General features: G+C 37.1%; 1 pseudogene across 1 annotated transcript in view; it reads left to right on the forward strand.

Annotated features, from left to right (window-relative positions):
• The first annotated feature begins 5,293 nt into the window (after positions 1–5,293).
• CCNYL4 (cyclin Y like 4 (pseudogene)) overlaps positions 5,294–26,092 on the forward strand; it is a 38,675-nt pseudogene continuing 17,876 nt past the window's right edge. Inside the window, exons 1-3 of the transcript NR_024524.1 lie at positions 5,294–5,583; positions 7,524–7,598; positions 25,231–25,266. The product of NR_024524.1 is annotated as a cyclin Y like 4 (pseudogene) (transcript). The remainder of the gene's footprint in view (positions 5,584–7,523; positions 7,599–25,230; positions 25,267–26,092) is intronic.

The following is a 26,092-nucleotide window of genomic DNA, read 5'->3' on the forward strand; positions in this document are numbered from 1 at the left end:
TTCACTTCTGATGTGACAGGACTTTATAGGGCACCTGAAAAAATTCTCATGAAAAACCACTTTTACAAAATGTCAAGTTATGATATCCAAGATGAAACCAATGAGTCACAACATTCACATAATATACTGTACAACCCTGATCTCTTGACTGTCATCAAATGTTTCTTACCTCTAAACCAAAGTTTCATTTTATAATTTAATTTTTCTCATTTTTTCTTTCCTCTCAGCTTAAGACAAGATCATTACAACCTTTTTTGTATGTTTTCATATATGCTTGCAAAGGGTTGTAAAATTTTATTGTGATTATTCTTGCTTTAAGCCAAAACTTCCCTAATCTTTCTTTAGAGATTGTGGAATAGCATGCTAGTTTCCTTTCCATATCCAATTGTTTCTTCTGTATTCATTACCCTAGCTATATGATTACATCTTTTGAACCTCCCCTGCAGCTAGGTATGGCCATTTGACTAAGTTTTAAGCCAATAATTTGTAAGCCGTGTGCTATGAGTACCTTCTAAAAAACCTTCCTCCTTCTTTTCTCCCTCTACCCTATTGTCTGGAATGAAGATCCAATAGCTGGAGATCAGTAGTCATCCTAGCTAAAGCAGGCAGGGGTGATGGGCAACACGGTCTGTTAATTCCCTTACTGGAAGATAACTTTCACAAGAATAAGAACCTTTGTTGTGTTGGTTCAAGCAATATCCCCAGCACTTACATACAGTGTGCGGCATGTTTGCTAAGAGCTCAGGTACTAAATGGGTATTGAATGAATGGATGAATTAATTAGTTTGCTTTGGAGCTATAAATAAACAAGGTCTCAGCTCATTTCACAGAATCAAGCTCCTAATTCAAATCACACTATTCTAATTTATTTCTCTTTGCTCTCTCAGACTTGCCAATGTCATGGTAGGTTAGGATTTTTCTTAGCGTACTTCAATATTGTCTTCACTCCAAATGTTTTAAAATCTATTTTCATAACAATGCTTCCCAATATTTTCCTGTTTAGAGAGTTTAAAATTCTTCCATTTTTAAAGTCGTGGATATCTGTGGGCCGGGTGCGGTGGCTCACGCCCGTAATCCCAGCACTTTGGGAGGCTGAGGTGGGCAGACCACGAGGTCAGGAGTTCGAGACCAGCCTGACCAACATGGTGAAACCCTGTCTCTATTAAAAATACAAAAATTAGCTGGGCATGGTGATATGTGCCTGTAATCCCAGCTACTCAGGAGGCTGAGGGAGGAGAATCGCTTGAACCCAGGAGGCAGAGGTTGCAGTGAGCCGAGATTGCACCACTGCACTCCAGCCTATGGGACAGAGTGAGACTCCATCTCAAAAAAATAAAAAATAAAAGTCATGGATATCTGTTTTCGAGTGTGTCTGTTGTTAAGCGCAGGCACTATTTTGTAACTTTAAATAGACATCATCTCAAGTCTACAAGAATTATCCAAAATGGTATCTAATGATATTTCTAGGTCTTCAGACACTATTAATTTTACTAGATATTGGTTACTGAAACTGAACTTTCTTGAATTCTTTTTTTTTTCCACTGTGGTTTCCCGCATTTCAACGTATCACCTATTTTTGTCCTCGAACTTTACTGAAATATTTTCAACAAAATTAAATTACATATGAATCATCGCTTCTTCCCTGATTTTTGAAATTACCCATTGCTTCCTATGATAATGATTCTTCTGGTCCTTTTTGTAGTTAACTTATGTTAGAGTTTGTAAATATTCACACATTTTGGAATTGCATATAATTTTCTTCTTAATTATTTTTTCCTCTTCCCCCAAAGTTGTTGTTATTTCTTTTAACTCTTTGTGGGAAAAATTAAACCCGTGTTTCACTTTTTGATATACTTGTCATTGAACTCCTTGATTTATGCTCAAATTGCTTTTCAAGTTACCCACTTTTAGGGAAGACATTATTTGGGTTTTGTTTAGTGTATCAAGCTTTTTTTTTTTGTTAGATGTATCAAGAAGTGTAGACTTTTCTATACATAGTATCCTTTTTCCCACAGTAGTTTTTTTGAAAATTCTATTAAAATAAAGGTCATCAAAAGATCTCTTCCTAAACCTTTCCTCTACCAGAAATACCTCTGGAATGACATGGTCCTTTCTCCCTTTCTTTTTTTAAATACAAACTTTATTTAATATAGAATTAACATTAATTTTGGAAGCAATACTGTTAAGTACATTCATAGGTATATCTAAAGTCAGTTTTTATTCAAAGCATGATTTTAAATAAATCCCTTCTTGCTTTTGTAGAAGTCCAAAGCTAATCTGCCCCAATCCGGATTGCATGCACTTGTGCCTTTTGGGGGCCCTTGTGCATTCGTTCTTCCTTCCCTTCTAAACTCAAAAATGTATTTTCTGTATTGGCTCTTTCCCTTTAATATAGAAGTATACTCACCCTTTTTGTTGAATCTTGGAATAAAAGGCTTTCTTTACCATATGTCTCCCTTTGACTACTACTACATCTCTCTTCTCAGCCAAATACTTGGGAAGAGAAGCCCTCAGTTTGTGTCATTGTTTTCTCACCTCCAGTTCAATACTTTACCCACTTCCTGACATCCAGCTCACTCACACACACACACAAGCCCAATCACTAAGTTATCATAGCTGATTTGTAGCTTTCCTGCCCTCCTGGCAACATTTGACTCTGTGCATTGAGATAATACACGTTGAGTACCTATTGACCAGGCACTGTGTTAGGTGCTGCTGTTATAGAAATGAAAAGCAGACATCATCTCCTTTCTAATGACTTACAGAGGCAGCCATTCCTGATTTATATGCAGGTGTCTTGACTCCCAGTGCTCACATTTGCAAGCTTCACTTAATGCCATGGAAATCACCCTATTCTCCGTATTTTTTTCTTCCCAATTCTTCTTACTATACAGAGCTTCTCAAGGCAATCACTTCCATGCCCATGGCTTCAGTTGCATTCTCTATTCTCTGAGGACAATAGAATTTTAAATGTTTTGTTTCATGTATTAGTTTTATTTTATACAAGATGCCTCATTTGCTGTAACCATAGATTCAGAGTTGCTCCATGAAAGTAATAAATGAAAAATGGTGATATTATTAGCATGCAAATTTTAGGAAATTTCCCCGGTTACTCTTAATGGTTTGATTTAGTATGTGTGTTATTTTTGAAAATATATGTTGGGATGTCACAAATGGACTTAGGCTACAGAGATTTATATTCAACTTTTGACCATAGAATTCCATTTTATGTGACACTGAGAGTAAAAAACTATCTTTTCCTCCTTACCTATTTCTCTTCCTACATTCTCTGCCAGGAGGAAGGCACCGCTACATACTCAGTCTTCCCCAGCAGAGCCTGAGCGCTCTGTTTTCCCTCTGCTTCCCCTCTTCTTTCACATCTCATGACCAAGCACTTCCTATTCCATCTCCCAAATGATCAGAAAACTTTTTCCTCAACTTTTGTCACTGCCACTGCCTTTATCATTACTCTTCTTTTAGATAAAGTCTCTTAATTGGTCTTGTTGCTTCCTTTAGTCCTTCATTATTATACAGACCACTATACACACATCTGACAGAGATGCCTCACCTTTGTATGATTCAATGACTCAAATTTTCAGAATAAAATTAAAACCATCCCAGCAACAAATTTGGGATCAAATATGGGTGGGTCTGTATCCTAGGTTCATACCCTGTCCAGCAGTGTAGTCTCAGAAAACTGAACTCCTTAAGCCTTTGTTTGTGTATCTGCCTACACTAATTGAGAGTTAGGACTGTTTCACACATACAGTGCCTGGTATGTAGAAGGGACTTAATGTTGAATGAAGGGGAGGCATTTTAAAATCCACATCAAGAAATGTTTTTCTTTTAAAAATATACTAATCTACAATGTCACTTTCCCTCCAAGCTTGACTTCTACCTTTACTTTCTGATATGGTTTGGGCATGTCCCCACCCAAATCTCATCTTGAATTGTAATCTCATAATCCCCACGTGTTGAGGGAGGGACCCAGTGGGAGATAACTGGATCATGGGGACAGTTTCGCCCATGCTGTTCTTATGATAGTGAGTGAGTTCTCATGAGAACTGATGGTTTTATACATGTTTGATAGTTGCTCCTTCACATGCTCACACTCTCTGGCCTGCTGCCATGTAAGAAGTGCCTGCTTCCTTTTCCACTATGATTGTAGGTTTCCTAAGGCCTCCCCAGTCATGTGGAACATGAGTCAATTCAACCTCTTTCCTTTATAAATTACTCAACCTTTATAAATTACCTGTCAACCTCAGGTATTTCTTTATAGCAGTGTGAAAATGGACCAATACACTTTCTGATAATCCTGCTTGAGAAATTGGGGGAATTCATACTACCTGGGATCAAATTGTGGCCCCAGCCTGAGCAGTCGTGTGACCTTGGGGAGATAACTTACTTTCTCCATTTCAGTGTCTTCTGTAAAACCTGTAAAATGAGATTGTTTCTGAGGGTTAAATGAGCATAGCACAGTTAGAATACTGTCAGGCACATACTGATTGCCAGATGTTGAGTATTCATCTTTATTGAATTAGGACTGTGGTACCCCACTTTATGGCTCTCTATTTTGTATGACAAAATCATGCTTAGTGCTTTGTTAGTAAAAGAGAGAATAATCTGAAAGTTTTTCCTGTGGAAGGAAGAAACAGAGGGGAGAAAAGGGAGTTGGTAAGTTTCAGCATTTCAGAACTTGGAGGGACAAGTCAGGTTTCTATTTTTTGGAGAAAGAGGTGGAGGCAGGATGGGTCCTAAGGTGTCATTCAAGACACACAGCCATAACTCTTTATTGAGAGTAGAGCTAGAGCCCCAGGGACTGCTATGGTCAAGTTGCAGACAAAAACTACCACTCATTGGAAGACAGGAGAGGAATATTTAGTTACAAAAGCAGTCAACAATTCAGGTGTATCTACATTCAGTCAGCAAATAAAAGTTGCTCAACTTGGTTGCTAATGGGACCCACTCTACTAACTGAGGATTTGTATAGAACTCATAGAGGAAGATGGCTTCAAGTAAGGAACCACCTTGTGCTTTTCTTGGGACTAAAAAGCTCAGGAAGCCGGTGATGAATGAAAATCTTAGTCCCACTGGCACTGTGCAAGGGGCCAGGAGAGCAGCAGCATCATAAGCCTCAGGGTGAGGCAGCCCAGGCAGGGGCATTCTGAGCTGTAGGGGAGGTGGGGCAGCCAGGGTGGGGCATTGTGAGCTGTCAGGGAGGGCATTGTGAAGTGTGGGGTGGGGCATTGTGAGCCACAAGCCTGGGCTTCCACCTGGGCTAGTGTGCTTCAGTCTGTAGGTGACTGCAGAAGGAGGAGGAGCTCCATCTGTACTCTCTTCAGGCAGTTGTGTCTCTCAGTGCTTGTTGGGTTCACACCTATTAAATAAGCTGGCTGGTCTTCACCCTCCAAGAGAAGTCAACTCATGGGAGGTGGCAGGGTACAGGCATTGGCCCAAGCTGTGGCTGGGGCCAGGCTGTGGTGTCGGCAGGCAAGCAGCAGACAAGACCATCTCTGCAAGTGCAGCACAGCCTCAGCCTAGGGCAACGGGAGTGTGAGGCCAAAGCTGTGAGCAGAGGCATAGGTAGTGGCAGACAGGAGTAGAAGTGCCCCATGGGTAACATACTGACCTGTTGTGTGTGCCCCAGGGCCAGCCCTGATTTGGACCAGAACCAGGGGTCAGTGTGTCCCTGTGAGTCTGAGACCTATGAGGCAGCAGCTGGGGACATGATAGCAGGAGTGCCTGTGGCTGCTGCTGTAAAGCCTGGTGAGGTGACTTGTGAAGCTGATGAGGGCCTCCATGTACACCGCAGAGGCTCTGATTACTTTAAAATTCTTACTTTAACACAAAGTGTGTCTGCAGATTTATTCTGGTGACTTAACAGACATTATTTACCTCCTTGTTCTAAAAGAGAGGTGGGGATGGTTTGTGGTCAAAACTTTTAAAAGACATAAAATGTAAATATAGACTTTGAATGTGTAATATAAAGATTTAAGGTTAAAATGTCAGACCTTGCCTGTGTAAGAGTGTTTGTTGCCATGGCTCCCCCTTTGTCCTTACCCCTCCTGACAATAGCGTCCTGTTCAAAGATAAGAAAGTTGGAGTTTTTCAATGTCTACACTGCTGGGAGAGGCAGAGGGATGGGAGGTGGTAGAAAAGAGAAAACAATTAGTTGGTTTGCCTCTAAAATTTTGCAAAGGGATGAATCTAAGTAAAAAGAATTCTGGGTAACAATACAGTTCTTGAATAAAAACTAAATTTTTCAAAATAGAAAACATTGTATCACAAAGATATTAAATCCTTTGGCTCTTTGGTTTCATTTAAATGCCAGAGATATTATTACTGTAGAGGAAATGTGTTATAGCTCTTCTATTTAAACTTTGATTGGGCTCTGTATAGCCAAGACAATCCTAAGCAAAAAGAATGAGAACACATGGACACAGGGAAAGGAACATCACACACTGGGGCCCATCGGGTGTAGAGGGGCAAAGGGAGGGAGAGCATTAGGACAAATACCTCATGTATGTGAGGCTTAAAACCTCAATGATGGGTTGATATGGGCAGCAAACAACCATGGGACTTGTATACTTATGTAACAAACCTACACATTCTGCACATGTATCTCAGAACTTAAAGTGAAAAAAAAAACTTTGGTTGGGCTCATTTTTTCTGAGGTAGAATAATTAAGACTCATGATGAGTGTGACTTTTTCAAGATATTTAAGAATTTAGAATAAACAAATATGTGAATGAATTCATTATACCTTTATACACAAAGCATGTAACTATTTGTGTAAACATACTCCACTTGGTGGTGTAAGGAAAGCCTCTGAGTGATTTTACACACCAGTTAATAGATGGGTAGTGTTGGATGAGAGCCCAAAAAAGGCTCTTTATTGTCATTCTTTAGGATTACAGCACAGTTTACGTATGTCTCATTTGGCCCTTTGCAATACAAATAAGGCCTATATGTATGTTCTCCCTATGTTTTGCTAATGAAGAAATGAAGACTTAGAGATTTCATCTGACTATGGAAGACAGCTACTCAACAGAACTAAGGTTCTATGTACTCAGAATGACATGGAAGAGATAGATATGCTGAATTTACTTTTTAAAAATTTTAAACACTCCAGAATACATCTTATATTTTGCCAATAAAATAGACCTGTCTTTTAAAACATACTGCTCTCTTGTTTTATTCTATGAAGTTGATTTTACACAACTTAAAGGCAAATTTGCCTTTTTTTTTTTTTTTAAATAAAGGAGGGTCTCACTATGTTACTCATGCTGGCCTCAAATTCCTGACCTGGGCTCAAGGGATTTTCCCATCTCAGCCTCCTGAGTAGCTGGGAATACAGGCATGCACCATCTTGCCTGGCTTCGTCTTATGTCTATACATTCAATTTCAATGGATAAATAAGAATAAAAATAGAGGTAGTGAAATAGCCTAAATGCAGCAGTAAAATAAATGAGATGATAAATTTTTATAAATGATCACATCTTTTTTCTTCTCTCCCTCTATAGATTTACCTTTGGAGTCCAACCCTTCTGACCATCCAGAGGCAAGCACAATATTCCTGAGAAAATCTCAAATAGATGGTGAGACAACATTGTTTTTTCTGCCAAGAAAAAAAATAAAAGTCTTGTTCTTTGATCAGCTGTATTATAGAAAGTATTTAGAAACTCATATTGGTTTAATTTTTTCAACTTTTCACATATTTACTTGTCTTATTTTAATATGTGATATACTTTTTTTAAGTTGTTACTGTGTTAGTGAAATCATGTAAACTTTTTGTTTATACATTTTGCCATCTTTTTATCAATGCAATTTGTCATGTGATGGAGGAGTCATAGATTTATCTTTATTTATAATTCTTTGCCCCTTTTCCCTTGCTCCAAAGAGTACATTTTAAAGATAGAACTTAGGCTTCAGCTTGGTTTCCAGTTAAACAAATAAAAGAAAACATAGTTGTTCATCAGCAGAGATTGAATCTGTGATTTTGGACTCCTCTTGCACAGTCCCCTGATCACATGTGTTTATCACATCCAAGTTTATGCTTCTTGAAACTTTTAAGTTATTAACCTTTTCATCTAATGTAGTATAAATTTAAACATGCCCCACTCTTGCTTATTTTCCTTAATGTTATGTTAAATCCTCACTTGTTTGCTAAAAAGCCATACACAGCCAAGTTTTCCAGTTGATTTAAGCAGCAAGAATACAAGTGAGGATCTATAATAATATGGGAAGTAATGCAGCACAGTAAAATATGGGAGTTTGTAACCTTTCTTTTTGTAGTTTGAGTAGACTTTGCCTGTCTTGAGTCAGGTATTTCTGGTTAGAATTTGTGTTCAGTTTTGCATTACTATAAAGAGGTACCTAAGGCTGGGTAATTTACAACAAAAAGAAATTTAATTGGCTCATAAATCTTCAGGCTGTACAAGCATGGCTTCAACATCTGCTTCTGGTGAGAGCTTCAGCAAACTTACAATCATGATGGAAGGCAAAGGGGAAGCAGGTGGTTCCACATGGTGAGAGAGGGAGGGAGAGGTAGGTAGAGGGAAGGTGTCACACTCTTTTAAACTACCAGAATGAGAATTTGCTTCTTATCATGGGGATGGCACCAAGCCATTCATACGGAATCCACCACCATTACCCAAACACCTCCCACTAGGCCCTGTCTCCAACATTAAGGGTCACATTTTAACATGAGATTTGGAGGGGGAAAAATATCCAAACCATATCAGAGTTGTTTTTCCCAGTTCCTTCCAGAGCTATGGGCTTCTCACACATAGAGAGCATGGAAGAGGTAAAACAATAGCTATTCCATGTCCCTCACTCTTCAGTGGAAGGAATGTTTGCCTGCAAGGCCCTTCCAGCATCAAAGGTGGAGGTGGTGTAGGAAACAAAGCATGACCTCTTAGAGCTTTTATTATGCTGGCCTTTTTTTTTTTTTGAGAAAAAAAAAGATTTTCTTTGCTGCAGACACCATGTCCAATCAGGTTTGTATAGTCATTTTAAAATTTAAATTTAAGATAGGTTACTTTCCAGTTGTTTTGTTTTTAGTGACATGTTAGTAGATGATCACTAAGTGCGGTTCGAGATGCTTACAGCGATTCTGGTGCATCTAGAGATAGGTGCCTGGCCAGAAAGTAGTTCATAGAGCTGTTAGGATTCTGGTAAATGAGAAAATACTCATGGCTCATATATGCAAGAGTTAAACTTTTTTATTAGCTAACTTTTTCATCTGGCCTCATTTTTTCCCCTTTTCTTTTGTACACAAGGATTCTTTCATGTGTATGTAATAGAAACAAAGAGCAAACTGGGTTCAAAAAGTAAAACTAAGTTTTTAGATTTTACTTTATGAGATTTATCATGCCAGATAATTTAAATATAAATTGTTGAAAGTAATTTTTAAATGGAATTTTTCCTCATTTAGGAGTATTCAGTAAGACATTAACTACTACTCTTATTTTATAGTATTTGTATCAGAAGTGACCTTTTTTTTCATTCTTAGTACAAGAAAAAAGAAAAAGCAACTATACAGAGCGTGTACGTAAACAGTCAAAAAGTTAAGAAATTGATAGTTTGATATAAAAATATGTCTCTCTTGATTCCTTTAAATTATAATGGGGACCCAGTGGTGATAGCATGGACTTCTTTTTGTATTTTCCTAAGTATCGAATTTATCCAGAGAAGTCTTCAGCTTAGTGTGTCCACCTTTTAAGAATTTCTGACATTTAAGTTAAATTTCAATAGTCTGGTTGTGTCATAAAGATCTGCCTTAAATATTTAATCATATTTTTAATCAGATAACAAAAATAGAATAGCTAAGAAATAACAAATAACAGAATAACAAATACAGAATAATAAATATGAAAAATAGAATAGCTATCAGCACTGTCTATTGACTTTGTCATAGCAGATGAAAGCATACCTTCCTCACTACACCATGACCTTATTTTTCTCCCTCTGTTTCTTCCAATTGTAGCACACTTTTTAATTAAATCAGTAATATTTACATGATTATGACTATGCAAATTCTATTCACTGCTAAGTCATATGGTGTTTTCGCTGTGCCTCTGCATTATATGTCCTTCATTCCTTCTCTGAAACAGTTCTGAAATCTGAGCATTTCTGCACTTTTTCTGGGTCATCTCTTTTTCCCTAGCCTATGTTGCTTTACCCAGACAAATGCAATAAGTAGCCACTGGCTGGTCTGTTTGCTTTCACATCCATTATTTTTTAGCATGAAGCTAATTTTCTGACTATATTTGTTTGCCTGTTTTCTAACAGCTGTTTTCCCTTCAAGTGTTGTAGCATTTATCACATGCCTTTCAAAGATACTTTCCATCTGCTAAAACACATCTGTTCCATTTTTTTTTTTTTTTTTTTGCCGTCGGTAGTGGGGCAACTTTCTTTGGCATTTTGTCATTCTAGTTCAATATAGAGTGGCTTTCCCTAGATATGCTCGATGTCTGCTTTTCTGTGCTAGCGCCTTAAAGTCTTTTGGGATCTCACATAACTGCCATCTTGTGTGGGATCACCTGAGTCCTAGATTCTGTTTCCTGCTGTCCTGTTATCCTCTCTGGTTGTACTTGAGCACATTTTCCTGGGCAAAGATGTTTAGGGATCTGGCCAGTCTTAAAATCCCTCCTTTTTGATAGAGAGTAAACTTCTAGGTTGAATCTAAACTTTATGGTTCTGAAGATATTTCACAATTGTGCTCTCATTACAGTGTTGTTCTCGACTCTATTGCCATTGTGAGATACATTATTTATGACCAAGTTTTATGTATCTGTGGAAGCTTTTTAGAAGCTTCTTGCTCACTGAGAGTCTGAAATTTCTTAATAACAGCTTGGTGGGAATCTTTTCATTTTATTGAGGCTACTATGTCTGAAGACTATCTCTTCTTGGGAATTTTTAAATTTTCTCTGTTCCTTTTTTTCTGATAGTCTTGTTATTCAGATACTCGGCTGCTTAGACCAGTATACTTGCATTGTTTTTTAATTTTTCCTCTTCGATTTTTCAGTTTCTGTGACTTCTTACTCTAATATTTCTATTGCATTTCATATCTTTTTCAGTGTGTTTTTAGTTTTTTTTTAAATTTTATTATTATTATACTTTAAGTTTTAGGTTTTTAAAAAAGTTTTGCTCCTGATTTTGACTGGTCCATGAATCCCTTTTTTCTGTTGTTTTGCTCTCTCTTGTTGGAGGCTTCCTTCCAATGTGTGATGGTCCCTGGCTTTATTTGGAAGCAGGACTTCTGTTAACTGATAGCACTCAGTGTGAGGTTTTGGAAGCCAAACTAGCTTTTCATTTGCGAGACTTCAGTGAATTATCTGGGGATCTTTACTAGAGTCAGTTCAGTTTCTTCTGAGAAAGGATCTCCCAATTTTCTGCCTGGGAAGTAAAAGAATGTCTACTTGCTTTCCAAAAGCAGAGTTAGGGAAGCAAGTTGGAGTTCTATTTTTGGTGTACAGTTTTCTTTATATCTCAGGTTTAAGCTGTGATATTTCTGAACCTAGAAATTCTCAGGTTTGGTATATCCAGAGAACACACATCTGTTTCTTATCAGATGGGAGGACAGGTGGACTTGGGGCTCTAACCACAGATTTTCTGACCTTGCTGGCTTTTGTTTTACATTTTACCCTACTTTCCAAAGTTCCATTTGCCTGTAAGTTCACAGCTTGCCTTTACTTCTACAAGACAAACTGGCTTGCTTCTCTTCCAGTCACTTTCTGTAGGGACCAAAGTTGTGCTTCTGTGTTATTTACCACTACTTTATGTACTTTTTATGTCCCAGCATTTATTAAAAATCATCTCTGTCAACCTTTTCTCCTGATCCTGTGTGTAACCTGTATTTTATGTATGAGTAATGAGATTTCCAGAGGCAGAGGAAATAAATTTGTGGTCAATGTATTATATTTAATCCAAATTTAAGACCTATATTTACATGTGAATCAAAGTTTAATTTCAATATAATTAATGGTATTAACCCAGACAATTTTTTTATTGATGTATCTATAATAAGCGTATTATACTTTTCTCCTAAGGCCTTGTTTAATATTTTTATTCAAACTTACACTGCCATATTATCCAATTACCTCACAACATAGATGGAGCTGTTTTCATGAATGCCCAAAGTGTTAGAAATATTTAAGTTAATTAAAATTTGTTTATTTTTAGCTTGGTCAACATAGCAAGAACTCATCTCTACAGAAAGGTTAAATAACAAATTAGCCCGAGGCATGGTGGCATGTGCCTTTAGTTTTACCTACTCAGGAGGCTGAGGCAGAGGATCGCTTGATCTCAGGAGTTTGAGGCTGTAGTTAACTGTAACTGCACCACTGCACTCCAGCGTGAGCAACAAAGGGAGACCCTGTCTCAGAAAAAGAAAAAAGTTATTATTTAAAAACATATCTAAAATTTGTCCTGCCAAAAAGGAGAGAGGAAAACATAAACTTGAGTTTTCATTTTATTTTATAGTTGCTGGGAAGAATGCCGTAGTTTATTTATTTATATATTTTTATTTCCATAGGGTTTGGGGGAAACAGGTGGTATTTGGTTACATGAGTAAATTCTTTAGTGGTGATTTTTGAGATTTTGGTGTACCTGTTGCTTGAACAGTATCCACTGAACCCAATTTGTAGTCTTTTATCCCTCACCCCCTTCCCACCCTTTTCCCTGTGTCCCCAAAGTCCATTGTTTCATTCTTATGCCTTTGCATCCTCATAGCTTAGCTCCCACATATGAATGAGAACACATGATCTTTAGTTTTCCATTCCTGAGTTACTTCACTTAGAATAATAGTCTCCAATTCAATCCAGGTTGCTGGGAATGCCATTCATTTATTCCTTATTATGACTGAGTGGTATTTCTTAATCCACTTGTTGATTAATGGGCATTTGGGCTGGTTCCATATTTTTATAATTGAAAACTGTGCTGCTGCAAACATACATGTGCAAGAATCTTTTTTTGTATAATGACTTCTTTTCCTCTGGGTAGATACCCAGCAGTGGGATTGCTGGATTGAATGGTGGTTCTACTTTTAGTTTTTTAAGGAACCTCCACACTGCTTTCCATAGTGGTTGTACTAGTTTCCATTTTTACCAGCATTGTAGAGAAGTGTTTTCTTTTCACTGCATCCACACCAACATCTATAATTTTTTGATTTTTTGATCATGGCCATTCTTGCAGGAGTAAGGTGGTATGGCATTGTGGTTTTGATTTTCATTTTCCTGATCATTAGTGATGTTGAGCATTTTAGTGGTATATCTTCTTTTAAGAATTGTGTATTTATGTCCTTAGCCCACTTTTTGATGGGATTGTTTGTTTTTTCTCTTGCCCATTTGTTTGAGTTCCTTGTAGATTCTGTATATTAGTCCTTTGTCAGATATATAGATTGTGAAGATTTTCTCCCATTCTGTGGGTTGTCTGTTTACTCTGCTGATTGTTCCTTTTCCTGTGCAGAAGCTCTTTAGTTAAGTCTCACCTGTTTATCTTTGTTTTTGTTGCATTTGCTTTTGGGTTCTTGGTTATGAAGTCTTTGCCTAAGCCAATGTCTAGAAGGTTTTTCTGATGTTATCTTCAACAATTTTTAAGGTTTCAGGTTGTAGATTTATGTCCTTTATCCATCTTGAGTTGATTTTTGTATAAGGTGAAAGGTGAGGATCCAGTTTCATTCTCCTGCACGTGGCTTTGCCAATTATCGCAGCACCATTTGTTGAATAGGGTTTATGTTCTTCAATTTATGTTTTAGTTGGCTTTGTTGAAGATAAGTTGGCTGTATGTATTTGGGTTTATTTCTGGGGTTTTCATTCTCTTCCATTGGTGTATGTGCCTATTTTTATACCAGTACCATGCTGTTTTGGTGACAATGGCCTTATTGTATAGTTCAAAGTCAGATAATGTGATGGCTCCAGATTTGTTGTTTTTACTTAGTTTTGTTTTGGCTGTGCAGGTTCTTGTTTGGTACCATATTTTAGGATTGTTTTTTCTAGTTCTGTGAAAAATGATGATGGTATTTTGATAGGAATTGCATTGAATTTGTAGGTTGTTTTTGGCAGTATGGTCATTTTCACAATATTGATTCTACCCATTCATGAGCATGGGATGTCTTTCCACTTGTTTGTTATCCATGATTTCATTCAGCAATGTTTTGTAGTTTCCAATGGCATATCAAAAAGATAATCTGCCATGATCAAGTAGGTTTCATATCAGGGATGCAGGTATGGCTTAACATATGGAAGTCAATAAATGTGATACACCACATAAACAGAATTAAAAACAAAAATCACGTGATCATCTTAATAGATGCATAAAAAGCATTTAACAAAATCCAGCATCCTTTTATGATTAAAACCCTCAGCAAAATTTTCATACAAGGGACATACCTCAATGTGATAAAATCTATCCATTACAAACCCACAGCCAACATAATATTTAGTGGCAAAAATTTGAAAGCATTCCTCCTGAGAACTGGAACAAGACAAGGATGCCCACTCTCACCACTCCTATTCAATATAGTACTGGAAGGCCTAGCCAGAGCAATCACACAAGAGAAAGAAATAAAGGGCATGCACATCAGTAAATTGGAAGTCAAACTGTCACTGTTTGCTGATGATATGATCGTATACCTAGAAAACCCTAAAGACTCCTCCAAAAAAACTCCTAGAACTGATAATTGAATTCAGAAAAGTTTCCGGATACAAAATTAGTGTACACAAATCAGTAGCTCTGTTATACCCCAACAGCAACCAAGCTGAGAATCAAACCAATAACTCAACCCCTTTACAACAGCTGCAAGAAAAAAAAAAAAAAAACCTTAGGAATATACCTAAGCAAGGAGGTGAAAGACCTCTACAAGGAAAACAGCTTTAGTGTTTTTAATGTGTTAAAATGATGGGCAGCAGGTACAGTGGAAGAAGTCAGTGGTTGGGCATTGGCGTCCAACGGGTACTGGACCTTTGATGGTAAGGCTTTGGTTTTGACTTACTAAAATATGAGGTATGATTATTTTCTAGTTTTTGTCATTAAACCTTAAAACTACTAAGTAAACCCTTCCATTTCTCATTAAAGACTATACAATTTCATACTCTGTGATTTATGCTGACTGAAGTTAGATTTGTTTCTGTCTATTTTTGACTATCTTAAATAATACCTATAAATAGTAAACTGTTAGTAGTGTTTTTGTTGTAATTAAATGTAGTAAGATTTACCTCCAAATTATAACTGAATTAATTTGTCAAGCACTTGTTGAACTTTTTGATTTATTCAAAATTTTGTGCTGAGCAGCTGGAGGTAGGAACAGTTAGGGCCCTCCCTTACTCTTATGGAGAGACATACTTTCTCATGAAGGGAATACTCTGCTGGAATTAGTATCTTGTAACCAGTTAGTGTACAAAAAAACATGTTTTGGTGAGGCTACTGGCAAAGAGATCCAAGAGGGTAGATGGAGTCAAGCTTGCTGAAACAAGGAAGGCGAAAAGCATTATTCCAGGCAGAGAACGGGGTAGAGCAGGAAAATGCCTAGGTGCAGGTTAGATGATTTATAGAACAAAATTAATCAAGTTTTGAAATGAATGGAAAGTATTCTCTGAGAGTCCTATTTGAGTCATGTCATGTCAGTCTTATTTAAACATGAAGCGAAAGTTAAATTTTTTAAGTTGTCATCTCTTTTCAGGGTGTGAGAGAATATTTAAGTGACACTCTTTTTATCCTCCTCATAAGAAAACAGGACTAGAGAAACCTATGTCTTCCTCACTTATTGGTGGACTAGCAGACCTGGTACATAGAGCCTCTGAATCTGAAACACTTGTTTTGTCACAATATTGCCTGAAATATTACATTTAGGATTAGTAACTTAATAAATGTATTAGTCTTGTATTCATTGCAGTAAAATGGTCTTGTACCAATATTATTTAATACATTACATTTTACTGTAGTAAATAAATAACAGAAATAGAAATTCTCAGCTGTTTTATGCCACTATAGAAAAAAACAATCAAATCTTACTTTAAACTTTTCTCATTATTTATAAAGGAAATTAATAAAATCCTTGTTAGGTTTGATGATAGGTACCATATTAAGGGCAGCATTTTATAAACCATATCTCAAACATCATCTGTGGAAGTTAAGAGCCTCCAGTGGGTTTTCTATAGAGTGCACATGATACCACACTCAGGCAGTTCATGGAGTATAAGAAATATCCTAGTACTTTGAAAAATTTGACATTTTAACCAATGAAAAAGTACACTTTGATAAGTTTAACTTATACTTCCCTTCCCCTTCAGGTATCTAGTGAGCATTTTACTCAGCAATACAGTCCATGTTCGACAATATTCCTTGATGACAGCACTGCCAGCCAGCCTCATCTTACAATGACACTAAAATCATCAGTACAACTATAATGCTAAGGGACAGACTCCTTTATTCAAAAATTATTTCAGCCATTTGGTTGTACTCTTCAGCAATCAGTTTAAGAAATTGGAATCAACTATATATTGATATCCAGATTCTAAATATTAAGTATCAATTTCTCTTTTAATCTTAGATGCCATGGTGGAAGGAAAAAACAGCAAATAAGCAATCCCAGAAAAAGTGTAGCTATTTATTTGATGCCTTTATGCCTTAAGGCAATGTTGAATGCAATGAGAAGGATAGGTTCCCTTTATTGAGTGATTTTTGTGAAATATTAGTTTTTCAGTGCATTGTAGGCCTAAATCAATGTGTATTACTTTGGACATTAGTCTTGGAAGAAGGAATAGCTTTTTCTCTTCTGGCACCACAGTGTATCTGCATTTGATTTTCTCCCATTGTGCATGAGCACCTCATGGACCACAAAGATGTGCTTTGAGAGCATCCTGAAATGAAGTTTATTTTAAAAGGAACAACAACCAACACCACCACCAGCTCCACTGGGTTTGTCTAGTGTACATCATTATCACCTCTTTGGGTTATGAGTATTTATTTTTAGAACACAATTTGGAAAGTGCTAATTTAGAATATTAATGTATTCATCTTTAACTTTACTTTTCATTCTATAAACATAACTAGCTTATAAACAATTTTATTTCAAATGCTCTAGCATTTTTCACTAATTCAATTGTCAGTCACTTTTACTTTAATTAAAAATGGCAGCTGGCTCCTGACTTGGAGACACCTCCCAGCAGGGGTTGATAGACACCTCATACAGGAAAGCTGGCATTTGGCGGGTGCCCCTCTGGGACGAAGCTTCCAGAGGAAGGAGCAGGCAGCAATCTTTGCTGTTCTGCAGCCTCTGCTGGTGATACCCAGGAAAACGGTCTGGAGTGGACCTCCAGCAAACTCCAGCAGACCTGCAGAAGAGGCCTCTGAGTGTTAGAAGGAAAACTAGCAAACAGAAAGCAATAACATCAACATCAACATCAACAAAAAGGACAACAATGCAAAAACCCCATCAACATCAAAAGGTCATCAACAGCAAAGATCAAAGGTAGATAAATCTATGAAGATGTGAAAAAACCAGCATAAGAATGCTGAAAATGCTCAAAACCAGAATGCCCCTTCTCCTCCAAAGGATCACAGCTCCTCACCAGAAAGGGAACAAAACTGGATGGAGAATGAATTTGACAAATTGACAGAAGTAATCTTCTGAAGGTGGGTAATAACTAGCTCCTCCAAGCTAAAGGAGCATGTTCCAACCCAATGCAAGAATGCTAAGAACCTTCACAAAAGGTTACAGGAGCTGCTAACTAGAATAAAGAGTTTAGAGAAGAACATAAACGACCTGATGGAGCTGAAAAACACAGCACAAGAACTTTGTGAAGCATACACAAGTATCAATAGCACAAGAAAGGATATCAGAGATTGAAGATCACCTTAATGAAATAAAGTATGAAGACATGATTAGAGAAAAAAAGAATGAAAAGGACAAAACAAAGCCTCCAAGAAATATGGGACTATATGAAAAGACCAAACCTATGATTGATTGTTGTACTTGAAAGTGATGGGAAGAATGGAACCAAGTTGGAAAATACTCTTTAGAATGTTATCCAGGAGAAGGTCCCCAACCTAGCAAGACAGGCCAGCATTTAAATTCAAGAAATACAGAGAACACCACTAAGATACTCCTTGAGAAGAGCAATCCCAAGACATATAATCATCAGATTCAGCAAGGTTGAAATGAAGGAAAAAATTTTAAGGGCAGCCAGAGAGAAAGGTCGGGTTACCTACAAAGGGAAGCCCATCAGACCAACAGCAGATCTCTCTGCAGCAACCCTGCAAGCCAGAAGAGAGTGGGGGCCAATATTCAACGTTCTTAAAGAATGTTCAACCCAGAATTTCATATCCAGCCAAACTTAGCATCATAAGTGAAGGAGAAATAAAATCCTTTACAGACAAGCAAATGCTAAGGGATTTTGTCACCACCAGGCCTGCCTTACAAGAGCTCCTGAAGGAAGCACTAAATATTGAAAAACTGGTACCAGCTGCTGCAAAAACATAGCAAAATATAAAGACCAATGACACTATGAAGAAACTGCATCAACTAATATGCTAAATAACCAGCTAGCATCATGATGACAGGATCAAATCCACACATAATAATATTAACCTTAAATGTAAACAGGCTAAATGCCCCCATTAAAAGACACAGACTGGCAAATAGGATAAAGAGTCAAGACCCATTGGTGTGCTGTATTCAAGAGACCCATCTCATGTGCGATGACACACACGGGCACAAAATAAAGGGATGGGGGAATATTTACCAAGCAAATGGAAAGCAAAGAAAAGCAGGGGTTGCAATTCTACTCTCTGATAAAACAGACTTTAAACCAACAAAGATAAAAAAAGACAAAGAAGGGTATTACATAATGGTAAAGGGATCAATGCAATAAGAAGAGCTAACTACCCTAAATATATGTGTACCCAGTACAGGAGCACCCAGATTCATAAAGCAAGTTCTTACAGACCTACAAAGAGACTTAGATGTCCACACAATAATAGTGGAGACTTTAACACCCCACTGTCAATATCAGACAGATCAGTGAGACAGAAAATTAACAAGGATATTCAGGACTTGAACTCAACTCTGGAACAAGCAGATCTAAAAGACACCTACAGAACTCTCCACCCCAAATCAACAGAATATACATTATTCTCAGCACTTATTCTAAAATGGACCACTTAAATGGAAGTAAAACACTCCTGAGCCAATGCAAAAGAATGGAAATCGTAACAGTCTCTCAGACCATAGTGCAATCAAATTAGAACTCAAGATTTAGAAACTCACTCAAAACTGCACAACTATATGGAATCTGAACAACCTGCTCCTGAATGACTATTAAGAAGAACCTGCTCCTGAATGACTACTGAGTAAATAATGAAATTAAGGCAGAAATAAAGAAGTTGTTTGAAACCAATGAGAACAAAGACACAACATACCAGAATCTCTGGGACACAGCTAAAGCAGTGTTTAGAGGGAAATTTGTAGCACTAAATGTCCAGATCAGAAAGTGGGAAAGATATAAAATCAACACCCTAACATCACCATTAAAAGAACTAGAGAAGCAAGAACAAACAAATTCAAAAAGCTAGCAGAAGAAAAGAAATATCTAAGATCAGAGCAGAACTGAAGGAGATAGAGACTCAAAAATCCCCTCAAAAAATCAATGAATCCAAGAGCCGGTTTTCTGAAAAGGTTAACAAAATAGATAGACTGCTAACCAGATGAATAAAGAAGAAAAGGGAGAAGAATCAAAATGATACAATAAAAAATGATAAAGGATATCACCACCAATCCCACAGAAATACAGACTACCATCAGAGAATACTATAAACACCTCTGTGCAAATAAACTAGAAAATCTAGAAGAAATGGATAGATTCCTGGACACATGCACCCTCCAAAGATTAAACTAGGAAGAAGTTGAATCCATGAATAGACCAATAACAAGTTCTGAAATTGAAGCAGTAATTAATACCCTAACAACTAAGAAAAGTCCAGGACCAGACGTATTCCCAGTCAGATTCTACCAGAGGTACAAAGAGGAGCTGGTACCATTCTGAAACTATTCCAAACAATAGAAAAAGAGGGACTCCTGCCTAACTCATTTTATGAGGCCAGCATCATCCTGATACCAAAACCTGGCAGAGACACAATAGGAAAAGAAAATATCAGACCAGTATCCCTGATGAACATCAAACATGAAAATTATCATTTAAATACTGGCAAACTGAATCCAGCAGCACATCAAAAGCTTATCCACCATGATCAAGTCAGCTTCATCCTTGGGATGCAAGGCTGGTTCAACATATGCAGATCAATATATGTAATCCATCACATAAACAGAACCAATGAGAAAAACCATATGATTATCTCAATAGATGCAGAAAAGGCCTTCAATAAAATTCAACACCACTTCATGCTAAAAACACTTAATAAACTAGGTATTGATGGATAATAAGAGCTATTTATGGCAAACCTACAGCCAATATCATACTGAATGGGCAAAAGCTGGAAGCATTCCCTTTGAAAACCAGTGCAAGACAACGATGCCCTTTCTCACCACTCCTATTCAACATAGTATTGGAAATTTTGGAAATTCTGGCCACGGCAATCAGGCAAGAGAAAGAAATAAAGCGTATTTGAATAGGAAGAGAGGAAGTCAAATTGTCTCTGTTTGCAGATGATATGATTATCTATTTAGAAAACCCAATTGTCTCAGTTCAAAAACTCCTTAAGCTGATAAGCAACTTCAGTAAAGTCTCAGGATACAAAATCAATGTGCAAAAATCACAACCATTCCTATACACCAATAATAGACAAACAGAAAGCCAACTCATGAGTGAACTCCCATTCACAGTTGCTACAAAGAGAATAAAATACCTAGGAATACAATTTAAAAGGGATGTGAAGGACCTCTTCAAGGAGAACTACAAAACATGCTCAAGGAAGTAAGAGAGGACACAAACAAATAGAAAAATATTCCATGCTTATGTATAGGAAGAATCAGTATTGTGAAAATGGCCACACTGGCCAAAGTAATATATAAATTCAATGATATTTCCATCAAGCTACCACTGACTTTCTTCACAGAATTAGAAATACTACTTTAAATTTCATATGGAACCAAAAAAGATCTTGTATTAGCTAAGAAAATCCTAATCAAAAAGAACAAAGCGGGAGGCATCACACTACCTAACTTCAAACTATACCACAAGGCTACAGTGGCCAAAACAGCATGGTACTGGTACCAAAACAGATGTATAGACCAATGGAACAGAACAGAGGCCTCAGAAATAATGCCACACATCTACAACCATCTGATCTTTGACAAACCTGACAAACACAAGCAATGGGGAAAGGACCCCCTATTTAATAAATGGTGTTAGAAAAACTGGCTAGCCATACGCAGAAAACTGAAACTGGACCCCTTCCTTACATCTTATACAAAAATTAACTCAAGATGGATTAAAAACTTAAACATAAGACCTAAAACCATAAAATCCCTAGAAGAAAACCTAGGCAATACCATTCAGGACATAGGTGTGGGCAAAGACTTCATGACTAAGACACCAAAAGCAATGGCAACAAAAGCCAAAATTGACAAATGGAATCTAATTAAACTAAAGAGCTTCTGCACAGCAAAAGAAACTATCATCAGAGTGAACAGGCAACCTACAGAATGGGAGAAAATTTTTGCAATCTATCCGTCTGACAAAGGTCTAGTATCCAGTGTCTACAATGAACTTAAACAAACTTACAAGAAAAAAACAAGCCCATCAAACAGTGGGTGAAGCATATGAACAGACACTTCTCAAAAGAAGACATTTGTGCGGCCAAAAAACATATGAAAAAAAGCTCATCATCACTGGTCATTAGAGAAATGCAAATCAAAATTACAATGAGATACCATCTCATGCCAGTTAGAATGGCAAGCATTAAAAAGTCAGGAAACAAGATGCTGGAAAGGATGTGGAGAAATAGAAATGATTTGCACTGCTGGTGGGAGTGTAAATTAGTTCAACCTTTGTGGAGACAGTGTGGTGATTCCTCAAGGATCTAGAACCAGAAATAGCATTTGACCCAGAAATCCCATTACTGGGTATATACCCAAAGGATTATAAATCATTCTACTATAAAGACATATGCACATATATGTTTATTACTGCACTATTTACAATAGCAAAGACTTGGAACCAACCCAAATGCCTGTCAATGATAGACTGGGTAAAGAAAATGTGCCACATATACACAATGGAATAATATGCAGCCATAAGAAATAATGAGTTCATGTCCTTTGCAGGGACATGGATGAAGCTGGAAACCATCATTCTCAGCAAACTAAGACAGGAACAGAAAACCAAACACCACATGTTCTCGCTCATAAGTGGGTGTTGAACAATGAGAGCACGTGGACACAGGGAGGGGAATATCAAACACCAGGGCCTGTCAGGGGGTCAGAGGCAAGGGGAGGGATAGCATTAGGAGAAATACCTAACGCATGTGGGGCTTAAAACCTAGATGATGGGTTGATGGGTGCAGCAAACCACCATTGCACATGTATACATATGTAACAAACCTGCACGTTCTGCACATGTATCCCAGAACTTAAAGTATAATTTAAAAAAACATGGCGGCCAGGCATGGTGGCTCATGACTGTAATCCCAGCACTTCAGGAGGCCAAGGCAGGCCAATCACCTGAGATCAGGAGTCCGAGACCAGCCTGGCTAACATGGCAAAACCCTGTCTCTACTAAAAATACAAAAATTAGCTGAGTGTGATGGTGGGTGCCTGTAATTCCGCTACTTGGGAGGCTGAGGCAGGAGAATCACTTGAACCCAGGAGGCAGAAGTTGCAGTGAGCCAAGATCACGCCATTGCACTCCAGCCTGGGCAACAAGAGTGAAACTCCATTTCTAAAACCAATAACAACAACAACAACAACAACAACAAAGAGGCAACTTTACACTCATGATAATGTCACTTCCCTCTCTCCCTTATCATAGTAGTAGAGATAAAATTGTGTTTCAGTAAAAACTGGATTCAAACCCTGTCTCAAGTCCTGAGCTTTGGGACCTATTGAGTAATCGGTAAATGTTTGTATTCAGCTAAGCCTCTAAATCCTTGAGCAACAACAACAAGAACAACAACAACAACAACAGGTCACTCTGGCTCATGTCCCTGGCTTCTTCTGAATTCAAAAGTTTTGATGTGATAGTATACAATTCAAAAGGAGTTTTAAACATTACTCCATTAATCTTGCTCAAACAAATTTCATGCTTTTTTCCTCATTATTCTAATTTTTAGAAGTCTACTTCTGAAAGTAAAGTAAGTTTTAATTTCCCATCAACAAGTTTGAGAAATTATCATTTGGTATATTCACTATTAGTGAAATAAAGGTTTATTGAGCAAATTAATAGGGCACATTGGCTTCAAGAAAAGATTTTGAAAAATGTTTATTACGGGTTAGTAGTGCACTGTTGTCAATGGGGTAGATGGAACTCATTGGGATCACTTTTGCAAGGTTTGTTTTCAAAATACATGTCTGCAAACATTTGTGTCTTCCCACCTCAACCTTCCCTCTATCTCTAGGTACTGAGAAGCCCTTTAGGAAAATTGGAATGGATGTGAGGCATCGTCATGTGAAGAAAAGCATCTCAGAAGGTTCTGATTTTCACACCAACTCAATCATTCCAAACTTTGCTGCACTTTGAAATCACCAGGGAAATTTTTAACAATAACTCTGATACCCAAAGTCCTACCCAATGCTAATTAATTAAATCAAAAAGTCTCATGTTGAAAATAAGGCAGTTATTAAAGCTCCTCAGTTGATTTTAATGTGCAGCAAAGTTTGAGAGACACTGCTTAATTTGAATTTAGGACGAGAAACTGCTCCTATTTAGTGGGACCTTGGGCAAGTCAGTTTTAAGGTTTCTTTCCCTAATCTGTAAAATGAGTTTTGGATTAAATGTCATATAAGGTCATTGGTCCTTTCCAGCATGTAACTTCAAATTCTGTGATTTTAAAATGATTTTAGAGATGAAAACTATTTGAAGCACTATAGACATATTCATCTTAAATGCTAATGTTACAGGCTTTTTAAAAAGTGTTAATATTGTATAGACCTATTATTAAAATTCAGATTTGCCTTCCCTCAGTTATTCTGAGCCTCATTCTAGATGCTGAGGGCAAATGGAAGCACATAACTTATGCAAGAGAACCTCTTGTTTTGTGATATGCAGCATCTGTGAGTAACTTAGGAATACAGTTACATATATCTGAAGAGGTGTATCTGTTCATAAATATTTCAGTTAAACTAGTTGAAGGTACCTGCCGTTCACATTATACTGTGTCGTGTTACACTGCCTTGTTAGCACAGCTTATTTTAGGATCACTGCACCTATCATTGATTTCCTGTGTGCTTATGTTTACTAATATATTTTTTAATAATTATGCAAAAGTGATTTCAAATAATTTTGTTATAAAGCACTTTCATTATGTATTTTTAGGGAAATAATTTAAAATGGGTGGGAGGAGATAGTGAACTAAATTAAATGCAGGACCTAACACCTTATAAAAGAAAACACTACTGTATGTCTTAAACATATGGACACATAGATGTAAACTGCATGAAGCTGTGTGCAGTGGCTCATGCCTGTAATCCCAGCACTTTGGGAGTTCCGAGGCAGGTGGATCACTTGAGGCCAGGAGTTTGAGACCAACCTGGCCATCATGGTGAGACCCTGTCCCTACTAAAAATACAAAAATTAGCTGGGCGTATTGGTGCAAACCTGTAGTTCCAGCTTCTTGGGAGGCTGAGGCATGAGAATTGCTTGTACCTGGGAGGTGGAAGTTTTGGTGAGCCAAGATTGCGCCACTGCACTCTAGTCTGGGTGACAGATTGAGACTCTGGGTCAAAAAATAAATAAATGCATAAAATAAATTGCATGGGATGAAAGGTTTTGTGGGTAGAAGAGCATATAACAGGGAAATATGTTGTTATTTATATATTATAATCATCAACAGAAACATGTCTTCTAAAAGCATACTGCCTTGAATTTTGGTTCTCATATTTTTGCGAAAAGCTAAGAAACAAAAACAAGAAAGTGCCCTTATGGTACTGTTCTGAACTATAAGATTTGAATTTCAGAGCCGCTAGGAGTGTTTCCTCTGCCCCCCTTTTAAAAAATGTCTTCAAGCCTAACAAATGATAACATTTATTGTTATGAATTTTTTTCCCTTCCACAGTGTGACCTTGGTGATATATTAACATATCAAGCAAAGGTGAGCTTTTCTAAAACCTGTCTTGTTATTCTGGCTAATTACTTTGCATGATATCAAGCTGAGCGTTAGGTCACAGCTCTAGACATCATAAGCTGTATTGTGCCTACTAAAATATCAAAGCAAACTATTTGTGTTTTCTTTGGTCCTTGAGACTTTATAAATTCTTAAATGATTGAGTATCCCAATGAGTATGATTTTATATTGATTATATTTATATTTACTGTGATAGAAATATAAAATTGATATTTTTTCAAAATCTATTTTTAGTTTAGATTTCACAGACTTAACACTATTGCTATCATGAGCTAGATAATGCTCTGTGAGGACTGTCCTGTGCATTACAAAAAGTTTAGCAACATTGATGGCCTCTACCAACTAGATGTCAGTAGTAACCCATGACCCAGGTTGTGGCAATAGAAAATATTCCTTGAGAACAATATTGTTAACATAAATTTTTAGATGAAAATATAACTTTTCTATGATAAAACGTTTAGTATAAAGTGTGTCATGTATTTACATTATTGAAAATCTGTAGTGTTGAGCTTAATAGAAGGCAGCTGGATTCTCTCTTTCTTTGCAATTTGCTTTAAAGAAGCAATAAGATGACCTAGCCTCATGCAAATATATAGTTGGTAAAAGGTGTATTTTTAAAGCTTTAAGACAGTTTGGGTATTCTTTAATACTAAATCAAAACTTTACAAGTGCTTGTTTCTTAAATTAGTTATAGTGGCATTTTACATAGTAGCAAATGTATTCCATCAGTACTCACTGATCTTTCTTGCACAATAAATTGTTCTTTCCCCACATACTTGCATTTATAATATTA

Source organism: Homo sapiens, chromosome 10 (assembly GCF_000001405.40).
Source record: "Homo sapiens chromosome 10, GRCh38.p14 Primary Assembly".
NCBI classification, from domain to species: Eukaryota; Metazoa; Chordata; class Mammalia; order Primates; family Hominidae; genus Homo; species Homo sapiens.